Source organism: Homo sapiens, chromosome 19, assembly GCF_000001405.40.
Source record: "Homo sapiens chromosome 19, GRCh38.p14 Primary Assembly".
Classification (NCBI taxonomy): domain Eukaryota; kingdom Metazoa; phylum Chordata; class Mammalia; order Primates; family Hominidae; genus Homo; species Homo sapiens.
In genome coordinates this window covers 31990122-32002462 of record NC_000019.10, presented here as the reverse complement: position 1 = coordinate 32002462, position 12341 = coordinate 31990122, and the positions used below count along the sequence as shown (strand labels likewise).

The 12341-nt window shown below is 36.4% G+C and overlaps 1 long non-coding RNA gene across 20 annotated transcripts in view; it reads left to right on the top strand.

Moving 5' to 3' along the window:
• Positions 1–12341, top strand: part of LINC01837 (long intergenic non-protein coding RNA 1837) — a 234720-nt gene that overhangs the window by 69637 nt on the left and 152742 nt on the right. For 2 of the 20 annotated variants that reach the window (XR_007067217.1, XR_001753909.2), the window contains one exon: positions 1798–1866. The exons of the other annotated variants lie outside the window; for them this stretch is intronic. This is a non-coding gene — a long non-coding RNA (long intergenic non-protein coding RNA 1837). The remainder of the gene's footprint in view (positions 1–1797; positions 1867–12341) is intronic. 20 annotated transcript variants of the gene reach the window in all.

The following is a 12341-nucleotide window of genomic DNA, read 5'->3' as shown; positions in this document are numbered from 1 at the left end:
TTTGATAATCTGTTTTGTGGCAATAGAACGTTGATACAATAAGCTTGTCAACTTCTAAAAAAAATACTGTTGGAATTTCTATTGTGATTGTATTGAATAGATCATGTTGGGGAAAATACAATATTTTACAAAATCAAGCTTCCAGTTCATGAACATAAAATATCGCTCTGTTTATATTCTTTTATATTTTTCTCAATGATATATTTTAATCTTGGATGTGGAGATCTTCCACATTTTTGTTTGGCTTATTACTAGGCTTTTGATATATAATTTTATTTGATGTTTGTTGTAATGGTTTTAATTATATTTGTAGATGGTATGTAAAAATACATATTTTAAATATATTGCTCTTATATCCAGCAACCATGCTAAACCCACTTATTGTATTAATTTGTACTTTCTTTTTTTTAAATATCCACAACTTGTACTTCACTTCCAAATCCTCTTTTATTTATTTTTTTGACTTAATTCTTAATTTCAAAAGCAAGCCTTACAATAGTTTATCTTTGAGATCCAGTTTCTCTACCATACTTTGTTGAAACTTGGGCAGCAATCTTCAATACTTTTTTTTGGTGAGTCTATTAAAAGCACTTCTCAGTCTTCCTAACCGGAATTGGTATATATCCCCAGGTGAAAAAGGTAACCCCAAATTCTAGGCCTCCTGGGCCTCCATTTCTCATTGATCATGGAGTGTTAATTCTTCTGTATTTTGTTAGTTCTGTATTTCCTTAGAGTATTTTTTTTATTTTTAATATCTTATCTAGTTTTTCTAGTTATCATGGGGAAATGACAGTTCAAATAATCTATCATACCCTTATCAAAAGTGGAAGTGCTACAATAATTTTTTAGCCATTTTATGGAGGTATAATTTACATAATTTACAAACCAAAGCATCCAATGATTATAAGTGTACAATTCAATGAGTTTTAGTTTTATGTATAAATGTATAGAGTCATGCAACAGTGGCCACAATCCAGGTTTAGAATATTTCCATCACTCCCAAAGGTTTCTTCATGACTTGTAGTTGGTTTCCATTCTCAGCACTCAGTCCCAGGTAACCATTGATCTGCTATCTATCGGTATAGGTTGACATTTTCTAGAAAGTCCATATAAATGGAGTCATACAATCTGTGGTCTTTTGTGTCTAGTTTTTTAACTTAGCATAATGTGTTGAGTTTCATCTGTGTAATTAATTCCATGTAATGATTTATAGTTTTCAGTGTACAAGTTTTTAGTTGTAATTTTGTAGTTTCCATATATAAATCTTTTGTTTATTCCTAAGTATTTGTTTTGATACTAATGCGAATTTTTTTTCCTTAATTTTGTTTTTTGGATTGTCTATTGCTAGTCTATAGACGTACAATTGGTTTTTGCATATTGATCTTGTTATCTGTGACTTTGGTGAATTCTCTCAGTAGTTCCAGTAGCTTTTTATGATCTGTAGAAATGAATAGAAATTTACTTCTTTTTCAATATATATCTGACCCTTGAACAATGTGGGAATCAGGGGCACTGACTTCTCTGCATAGTTGAAAATATGCATAGAACTTTTGACTGCCCCAAAACTTAACACTAGTACCCTACTGTTGACTGGAAACCTTACCAATAACATAAACAGTTGATTAACACATATTTTATATATATATATAATTTACTGCATTCTTATAAGAAAATAAGCTAGAGAAAATAAAATGTTATTGAGAAAATCATAAGAAAGAGAAAATATATTTACTATTCATTAAATGGAAGTAGATTCATCATGAAGGTTTTTATCCTTGTTGTCTTCACGCTGAGTAGGCAGAAGAGGAGAAGGAAGAGGAGAGGTTGTTCCTCTCAGGGGTGGCAGATGTGGAAGAAAATTCATGTGTAAGTAGACTTATGCAGTTCAAGCTTGTGTTGTTCAAGGGTCAACTATGTATGTCTTTGATTTTTTTTCTTGCTTTATTGCATTGACTTGGTCCTCCGCTGCAATGGTGAATGGAAAAGGTACAACCAGGTATCCTTGCCCTATTCCTGATCTTAAGGGGAAATAATACAGTCTTTAAAATCAGTCATGTTGATAGCTGTAGGTTTTTCATAGGTTTCCCCAACTTTATCAGGTTGGGGAAGTTCCCTTTTAGTCCTGGTTTGCAGAAAGTTATTATTTTAAATGGGTGTGGATTTTGAAAATTGAGAAAATCATGTGAGCTTTTGGTCCTTTATTAATATTGTGTATTACATTAATTGATTTTTAGATGTGAAACTAAACTGTGTTCCTGAGATAAATATCACTTGTAATGTTATATAATAATCTTTTTTTAAAAAACTGTAGCCGTGTTCAATTTTTTAATATTTTGTTAAGGATTTTTTTTTTCTATCTTCATGAGAAATATTGATCTTTTGTTTTCCTTTGTTGTGATGCCTTTTTCTGGCTTTGACATCAGGATAATACCAGCCTTATAGAACGACTTGGGAAATGTTTCCCTCTCCTCTGTTTTCTGAAAGAGTTTGTGTAGGCTTAATATTATTTCCTTAATATTGATAGAATTCATTAGTGTAGCCATCTGGGCCTGCGCTGTTTTGTGAGAAGATTTTTTAACTATTAAATATATTTCTTTACTTGTAGTTTTATTCATGTTTCTATTTCTTTCTGTGTCAGTTTTGGTGATTTGTGACTTTCATTTTATCTGAGTTGTCTAACTTTGTTGGCCTAAAGTTAATCATAGTCTCTCTTTATGATCTTTTTAATTTTTGTAGGTTTGGTAGTGATAACACCTTCTTCATTCCTAATTTTGGTAATTTTTGTATTCTTTCTTTTTAGGCTCACCCATCTAGCTAAAAGTTTATCAATTTTGCTAATCTTTTCGAAAAACTAAATTTTAATTTTATTTTCTCTATTATTTTCCTATTTTCATTTTCATTGATTTCTGTTCTAATATCTCTTTTTTCTTCTACTTGATTTGTGTTTAATTTGCTTGTGTTTTCTAGTTTTTTTTTTTTAAGGTGGAAGCTTAGAGTCTTGAGATTTTTGTTCTTTTCTAATGTGAGCTTTTAATGTTATAAATTTACCACAAGGTGCACTTTTTAATAACTTTATTGAAACATAATTGTCATATAATAAGCTGCACATATTTAAAATGTACAAACTAATATTTAATACATTTTGACATACGTACATGTGCAAGAATTTACACTGAAAATAATATACACATCTGTCTTCTCCAAAGGTTTCCTTGTGCCCTATGTAATCATCTGCAATCCCGCAACCCTTCCCTGATGCACTAATAATTCTTATGTTTTGTTGTCATTCTCATTCTGTTCAAAATATTTTCTAATTACTTTTGTAATTTCCTTTTTTCAGCCACTGGTTGTTTAGAAGTATGTTTTTAAATTTCCAAATTTTCAAAATTCTTTATGTTTTTAATTTCTAATTTAATTTCATTGGAGGCAGAGAATATAATTTAAAGGATTCAGATCATTTTAAATTCATCAAGACTTTTTCATGGCCTAGACATTATTCATTCTGGAGAATGCTCTTTATACACTTGAGAGGACTATATTCTTCTGTTGGAGTGTTCTATACATGTCAGTTAGGTCAGTAGGGTTGATAGTGGTTTATATATTTATATACTTACTAATATCTTTATATGTGTAAAATTTATGTATTTATATTTTTACTAATTTTATCTATTGTTTACAGTGGCTTATTGAAATCTTCAACTATAATAATTGACTTATCTATTTCTCTTTTAATTCTGCCAGATTTTGCTTATTGAATTTTGAAGTCTATTATTAGATTCATAATACACATATTATTATACATATTATTAGATTCATAATGCACATTGACAACACTCATTCCATCTTGATGTATTAAGGCTTTATTAATATGAAATATTTCTTTTTATCTCTAGAAAAATTTCTGGTCTCAAAACCAACTTTGCTTGATATTAATGTAGCCACTCTAGTTATCTTATTGTTAATGCCTGTATGTTATATCTATTTTTGTCTTTTCACTTTGATTTATTTGTCTTTGAGTCTACAACGTGTCTCTTATTGATAAAATATAATTGGATTTTGCTTTTTTATCCTTCAGATAATCTTTGCCTTTTGTTTAGAGAGGTTAGTTCTTCAGTACTTAATATAATTATTGATATAGTTACATCTGCCATTTTGCTATTTGTTTTCAATATGTCTCACTTTTTTTTAATTCCTGTCCCTCCTTTTTTTTGCCCTTTTCTGTGTTAAACAAAAATTTTTCATGTACCATTTTAATTCCTCTGTTTTTCTAATGATGTATTTTTAAACTTTTTTCAAATACTTTTTGCTTTGTAGGTTTAAAATATATCTGTTGAGGTATCACAATTTTCTTCAGGTTAGTACTGACCTAATTCTAGCAAAATAGGCCACTTTGCTATAGTATAGTTCCATTTCTTCTCTCTGTTTTGTGGCGTTATTGTCGTATATATTTTAGCTATATGTGTTAGAAGCTAAAAAATACAGTGTTCTAATTCCTTTTTGAAATCTTATATTTCTGAAAAAAATTAAGAGTAGAAAAAAGCAGAATATATATTTAATCATTCTTTTATAGTTAATGATATATTTACCATTTTTAAACTTTTCATTTCTTCCTGTTGATTCAAGTTACTATCTGGTGACATTTCCTTTCAACCTGAAAAATGTCCTACAGCATTTCTTGCAAGATTGGTTGGCTACTAACAAACTTTCTCAATGTTTACCTAGGAGCATCTTTCCCTTCATTTTTGAATAATTTTTTTTGATACAGAATTCTTGGTTAACAGTTTTATACCCACCACAGCCCCAGCACATTGAAAATGTTATTTTACTGCCTTATGGACTCCATTGTTTCTGATGCAGAGTCTGCTGTTAATTATTGTTGTTACTCCCCTCTACACAATAAGTTGTTTTACTCTTGCTACTTGCAAGATTTTCTGATTGTTTTTGTTAGCTCTCAGCAGGCTGATTATACTGTATTTATCCTACATTTGGTTTGAGCTTCTTGGTTCTGTAAATTGTTTTCATCCAGTTTGGGAAGTTTTTGGCTACTATTCCTTTGAATATTCAATTTATATACCTTTCTCTCTCTTCTCAAGTTCTAGAACTCCCACTTTACATGTGTTGTCATTCTTGATGTTGTCTCACTTGATGTCTCTGTTTTTTTTTAATCTTTTCTCCATTTTTCAGGTTAGATAAGTTTTATTTATGATTTTTCAGTTTACTGATTCTTTATTCTGCCGTCTTAAATCTGATGTTGAACTCTTCTAGTGAATTTTCATTTCGTCATTGTATTTTTCATCTATAATTTTTATTTAGTTTATTTTTATAGTTTATATTTCTCTATTTTGGTTCTTGGTATGAGTCATTGTTATTATATTTTCCTTTCATTATTTTTTAGATTTTTAAAATTGAGGTGAAATTCACTATTTTAAAGTGTGCATAAAATTAACTATTTAAAAGTGTACAATGCAGTGGCATTTAGGACATCAACAACATTTTTCTAAAACATGTTCATTACTCCATAAAGAAACCTTATACCCATTAAGCAGTTACACCCTATTTCTCCCTTCATTCGGCCCCTGGTAACCACCAATTTGTGTTCTGTACGTCTGGATTTACCTTTTCTGGATATTTCATATAAATGATGTCCTATGATATGTACGTTTTATGTCTGGCTTCTTTCACTGAGCATAATGCTTTTGAGGTTTATCTACATGGTAGCGTATATCAATGCTTCATTTATTTGCATGGCTGGATAATATTTCATTGTATGTCTATACCATGATATCTTTATTCATTCATTTGTTGATAAACATTTCGCTGTTTCCACCTATTTGCTATTGTGAATAGTGCTACTATAACTATGCATATAAATGTATTTGTTTGAGTACCTATTTTTAAGTCTTTGGGGAATATATGTACAAGTGGAATTGCTAAGTCATATGATAACTTCATGTTTAGCTTTTGAGGAAGTGACCAACTGTTTTCCACAGTGTCTGCATCATATTACATTGCACCAATAATGTGGAATAGTTTTGATTTCTCTACATCCTCACCATGTTATTTTCTGTATGAAATATAAAGTTTTACCTCATTTGTGGTTTTGATTTCCATTTCCCTAGTGACTAATACTGTTGAGTGTTTTTTATGTACTTCTTAGCCATTTGCATATGTTTTTGGAGAAAGGCCTATTCAAGTACTTTGCTCAATTTTTAATTGGGCATTTATGTTTTTCTTGTTGAGTTATAAGAATTCTTTATGTATTCTGAATGCCTGATTCTTAGTAGATGTGTGCTTTGCAAATATTTTCTCCCATTCTGTAGGTCATCTTTTTGTCTTTATCGATAACCTCCTTGATACAAAGTTTTTAATTTTCATAAAGTCTAATTTATCTATTTTGCTTTCATTGCTCATGTTTTTGGTGTCCTATCTAAGAATCCATTGCCAAATCCAAGATTATGATTAACTTCTAGGTTTTCTTCTAAGAGTTTTAGGGTTTTATCTCTTACATTTAGGTTGCTCATCCATTTTGAGTTCAGTTTTTGATAGAATGTGAAGCAGTGATTTTTCTTTAATTATTTAAACATAGTGTTCTTAATTCTTTGAATGTATTTCTGGATTCAGAGTCCAGAGTGCTCACCATTACACCATGGAAACATGAATGTATTTCTAATAGCTGCTTTGAACTCTCTGTCTACTAAATCCAAATCCAACATCTGGGCCCACTCAACATCAGTTTATATAGGTTCTCTTTTTTTCTCCCTGAGTATAATTTATACTTTACCACTTCTTACAATTTTTTGTTGAAAACTGGACATTTAAAATAATATTTTATGCAAACTCTGGATTGTAAAATTTCCCCTAAGCATTAAAAAAAGTAACTTGCCTGGACTTAATACATGAAATCTGTCTTCTAAGCATGTGTGGTTGATACATCTGTTTAGTTTCTTAAATTCTTATTTTTATTTTTATTTTTAGCCTGACTTCCTAAGAGTTGCCCCTGTGTCTGCATAGATTAGTAGTCAGTCAGTCATTGGAAGATGCTCAGTGCTTCCACACTCTGCTGATTGATTTGTGTATGGGTTGTAGCTTGTACCCCATGTTCAGGCAGTTTTCAAATCTGCCTTAAGATTTAGTTTTACTTTCTTCTGGGCCCTCTTGAGTATTCCCTGCACATGCTAGAGGCTCTCTAGGTAGAGATAAAACCCAAGATGTGTGGATAGCTTAGTTAGCTCTTCCAGGATATTCGCATTAAATTTCTGGTTATCCATTCACCCCATTTGCCCCAACTGGGACTGCAACTTTACATTAGCAGGGTTGTGGGTTTTCCTCCTTAATTTTCTTCTGAGTTTGCAACTTTTAAAGACAACACAACCAACTACAGGTTTGCTCTTCACTCCAAAACAGATCAGCTCCCTTTGGCAGTGAAGATGCTGTTTTTCCAGCCAGACTTGTCCTAAAAAAAATACCATGCCAATTTAGCTGGGGAAGAGAAGGGAGCAGCCCTAGGCAAGAAGATCACCAAATCCTACTGTTCTTACTCAAAATTCTTGCAGTTTTCATGAATAAATGCCTCCAGTTTATTGTTTGCTTTGGGTCAATGTTATGGAAAAAGTTTGTGTCTCCCCAAAATTTATATGTTCAAACCCTAATCCCATTGTGATGGTATTTGGAGGTGGAGACTTTGGGAGGGGGGGAGCCCTCATGAATGGGATTAGAGCCCTTATATATAGAGCCCAGAAAGCTCTCTGACTCTCTTTCTGCCATGTGAGGTCACAAAGAGAAGTTGGCAGTCTACACCCTGGAAAAGAGCCCTTACCAGAACTCGACCTTGCTGGCACCCCAATCCCAGATTCCCAGCCTCCAGAACTGATATAAATTTAGGTTGTTTGTAAGCCACTTAGTCTGTGTTACTTTGTTATAGCAGCCCAATGGACAGAGACAGTCAATTTCCAGAGCTCTTAGTGTTTGTTTTTGATAGTTTTGTCCAATTTTTACTTGTTTTATGGGGAGAAGGGTTGCTGATCTCTTCTCTCCACCATGGCTGAAAATCCTGCTACCACAACAACAGTTTTTAAGTTTGAGTTTTTCATTTTTACCTCGTTGAAGAGATCAAAGTTTTCTCTATGGCTCTGCCCTTAGTTTTATACTTAGGATTTCTTCATTCCAAGATTACACTGTAATTAAAAGAAATTTTATATTATAGTGCAATGGTTTAATTTTTCCATTCAAATGTTTAGTCATTTCACAGTTATTTATTTCATTGTAACGAGGCAAGACTGTAGCTCACTTTTTCTTCTTGTTGTTAGCTAGTTGTCCATACCAATCTTTTGAATAATTTATTTTCCTGTTGATTTGGAAAGCAACATTTTTAATGTTTGAGTGATATGTTTTCTTACTTCACTTTTTATTCTGTTCCATTGATTAATTTTTTATTCACACTTTCTATTTTTTACTTTTATATTTATTTATTTATTTGAGATGGAATCTCACTCTGTTGCTGAGGCTGGAGTGCAGTGGTGCAGTCTAGGCTCACTGCAACTTCTGCTTCCCAGGTTCAAGCAATTCTCATGCCTTGGCCTCCTGAGTAGCTGGGACTACAGGTGTGTGCCACCACACCCTAATATGACAAATTTTTTTATTTTTGTAGAGACAGGATTTCACCATGTTGGTCAGGCTGGTCTCGAACTCTTGACCTCAGGTGGTCTGCTCTCCGCGGCCTCCCAAATTGCTGGGATTACAGGCATGAGCTACTGCGCCTGGCCTTGTATTCACTCTTTCTTAGAAATGCCACATTGTTTTAATTATTATGCCTCAGAATGCCTTCTAATATAGGGTATGACAAGATCCTTTCCCCTGCCCTTTCACATTTTAAACCATAGAGTGGGCTCCCATTGTCCATACTGCAGAGTTAGTGTTTATTGATTCATTAATTCCTGCATCCCACAGATGTTTATTGAGCTTGTGCCCTACGTTAGGCAATGCGTTGCTTAGGGATTCAATGGTGAGCAACAAGGCCTAGTTTTTGCCTTGCTGAGACTTGCAGGTTGTCATGCAGACAGGAAGAAAAGGTAAACAGACAAATTCATCCAATGCTTGAAAATTCTAACAAGTATGTGAGGCAAAGAATCAATATGGGATATTTCTATTCCAGAAACTAATGTTTAAGTCAAAGCCTGCAGGACAGGTAGGAGCCATGTAGGAACCAAACATTGTTTTTATTGTTTTTTTCCCCCAAATGCTTGTTCATTTGTCCCAACACCACTAATTACAGAATTTCTCCTTTTCCCATAGGGGTGGGAGGGAGCAGTCCATGTGAGGGGAATGGCACATGCCCCAACCCTGACATGGAAAGGAGGCAGAGGACCTGAAATACAACCTGCATTCCTTCACTTAGGAGAGTGGCCTGACCTGGCATGTGTGAGGGGTTGAGATGGTCAGGGAGGGGAGGGGAGCAGTGGGTAGATAACGCTGGCCTTGTAGACCATGGAGGGAAGTTTGGATTCCATCCTTAGGGCAGTGGGAAGCCCCTTACAGGGTGTCCCCAGGGCAGTGGTGCACACTATGTTTTAAGACGACTATGCCGTGTGTGGTCTGGATAAAGGCTGAGTGCCTGCAGGGGTGAATGGGGTAGGGTGGGGTCCAGACTGAGGGAGGGGAGCCAGGATGGGTGGCCAGATGATGGACAGCAGGTCCTATTGATGGGCCAGACATGGGGTAGATGGAAAGGAGTGCAATTCTGCCCTCTTGCAGGTTCTGGCAACAGGCCTTTTGGTTATGAACTGGAGAGGGGCAGAATGGGAGTCCCTGCTTAGGCTCCTGTGGGTGAACAGAGCCCAACAAACTGCCTTTCTGTAGGCAGCATCTACCGTGAGACAGGAGCATCCTGTGAGTGCCTTGGGAGATGATTGGCGGCTTGGGATGCAGCACACTTCTTTGGAAATCCAGTGGTGTGGACGGCGAGAGGGTGACACCCACCCTTTTGCTAAGCAGCACGTACCAGGGCCTGGGAGGGCCGACAGCACGGCAGAAAAGGCGATTGGTGCAAGAGCGAGACGTAAACAATTGACAGAATGTTATGGGCTGAACAGAAATGTCAGAGTATTAAAGTGGGTGTCTGAGAAAACAGAGAGTTGCTATCTGAGATGATGAATAAGCCAGTGCCAGTTGTCACAAATGTGTGAGATGCCTCTGTGAGCAGAGAAGAGGCTGAGCTGCACTTTAGGGAGGCAGGCGATGGGGGCCCTGCACTGGGCCAGGCCCTACTGCTATGGGGATGGAGCCAGATGCCCTCCCACAGTGCCCGCTCTTCTGCGCCTGCCTGCCGCCCTTCCAGTTACATGCAGAGTGTATCTCCCTGGTTGAAATGGAAGTTCCATCAGGACAATGCGTTATGTGGTTCCCAACATTCCTGCTCCCTGGTGTACACGCCCAGCCTGACCCCCTTCCTTGGTGTGGGTGAGACCTGTGAATGTGATGTGGTGCATGGCAGAAGTGAAAGGATTTTTTAAACTTTTATTGATTTACTTATTTTGTATTTTAGATTCAGGGGTCCATGTGCAGGTTTGTTCCACAATATATTACATGATGCTGAAGTTTGAGTTTCTATTGAACCCATCACCCAAATACTGAACATAGTACCTGATAGGAAGCTTTTCAATTCTTGCCCCTGTCTCTCCTCCTCCACTTTGGAGTCCCCAGTGTCTCCAGTGCAAACCAAGCTCTTGCTCACTGCTGGGTGCCCAGCATCTTCACACAGTGTGCTTGGCACACTTCAGTGCCCAGATACCTCTCTGTGGCATTAAGCTGTTTTCCCTTTGGTCCTCATTTCTCTGCATTCAAACAGCTTGGCTAGTTCCTGATGATCTCAAAGAGAGAATCCCCCTCTGTTTTTAAAGAAAAGCACTGTGGCCATCAGTTAAAAGAAGGGGACAAAATCAAGTCTGTTGAAAACAGAAAAATGGCTCATTTAGCCTCAAGGCCAGAGAGCAGGTGGAACAGAATATTCTGGAGGGCACTGGGTACCAGCCTTGATGCAGTCCCAGCACCATCTGGGAGGCCACGAGGAAACCAACTCAAACCCCTTATTGTGGCTACGGTCAGATTAAATGATCCCTTTAACACAAGCTTTCAGACTCTCTGAGGGTTAAATGTATTTGTCAGTGATATTTAACACTACAAAGTTATAGGACAACCAATGGTTTAGCTAGTTACTTGGAACTGATTACAGAGGAATTTAATTTATACAAAAATAAAAGAGATTTATTTTCCAAGGACAATGTAATATAATGTGTGAAATGGGACAGCACTGAAACATGTTTCGGAAAGCTTGTGATTGAAAATACTGAGGCCTTCTCCGACTAACCTTGTCATTCCCTCACAGAGCTAAGAGTCCTCAATTGACAGCCATACCTTGTTTTATGCCAATGTTATCGGATATTTCCATGTAAGCCAACATTTCAGACGTTGAGTTAAATACACAAGTGATGCTTGGTATTTTTTTCAGGACTAAGTGTATCAGAGAGGAAAACACAAATGTACATACACAAGCACAGGACATGCCCAGAACTCATTGTGAATATCTCAAGTAGAAAGGGATTTCACGTAGACAATGTAATGCTTCCAAAACCATTTGAAAGTTTGGAGGAGTGAAGGTCAAGGAACTGGCTGAAGTTCTCAGATATGCCACTGGATTTCAGAGACTCCAGACTTTGCTGCAAGCCACCAGCAATGACTACAGTTGCCTGTAGCACATAGCTGGGAACTTTGCAGGCTGTAAATCAAGTTCATCCTGCAGAGCCTGTGGATCTACCATTGCTGCCCCAGGAAAAACGATATGGCTCCTGTCCATTAAATACTGGGCAACTGTCTCCCTCATTGGTCCATTCCATGAGGTTCCAGAAAATGTAGTTTCCAGGTTTCTAGTCCCTGTGTTAGAGGGGAGAATGGAGGAGAGGGGTAGTGCCTCAGTGTCACCAATGGACAGCACTGAGTCCAGAAAGCTGCAGGAACACGGCAAGGAGCCAGCGTGTTGCTTGCCACAGAGAATGCAGTTAACTCCAATAATCTTTAGACTCATGGATGACAAAGTGCCCATTAATTCTTCTGATCTCCTAGCGAAATAGGTGGCAGGAAAACCAATGTCAAGTCCACGGAGGCAGTGAGGAGACAAGTGCAAGGAGGGTTTGTGATTCCTAATCAGTGCTGGCACTGGAAGGAGAGCCCAGGTCTCCTGGATTCAGTCTTAACCTCTTTCTCTGTCCCTGTATGGCCATCCCTGTCATGACAGTAGGAGAGAAAGCAGTAGCCACAGAAGGAAAGAAGACTTGATGGAGGGAAGAGGA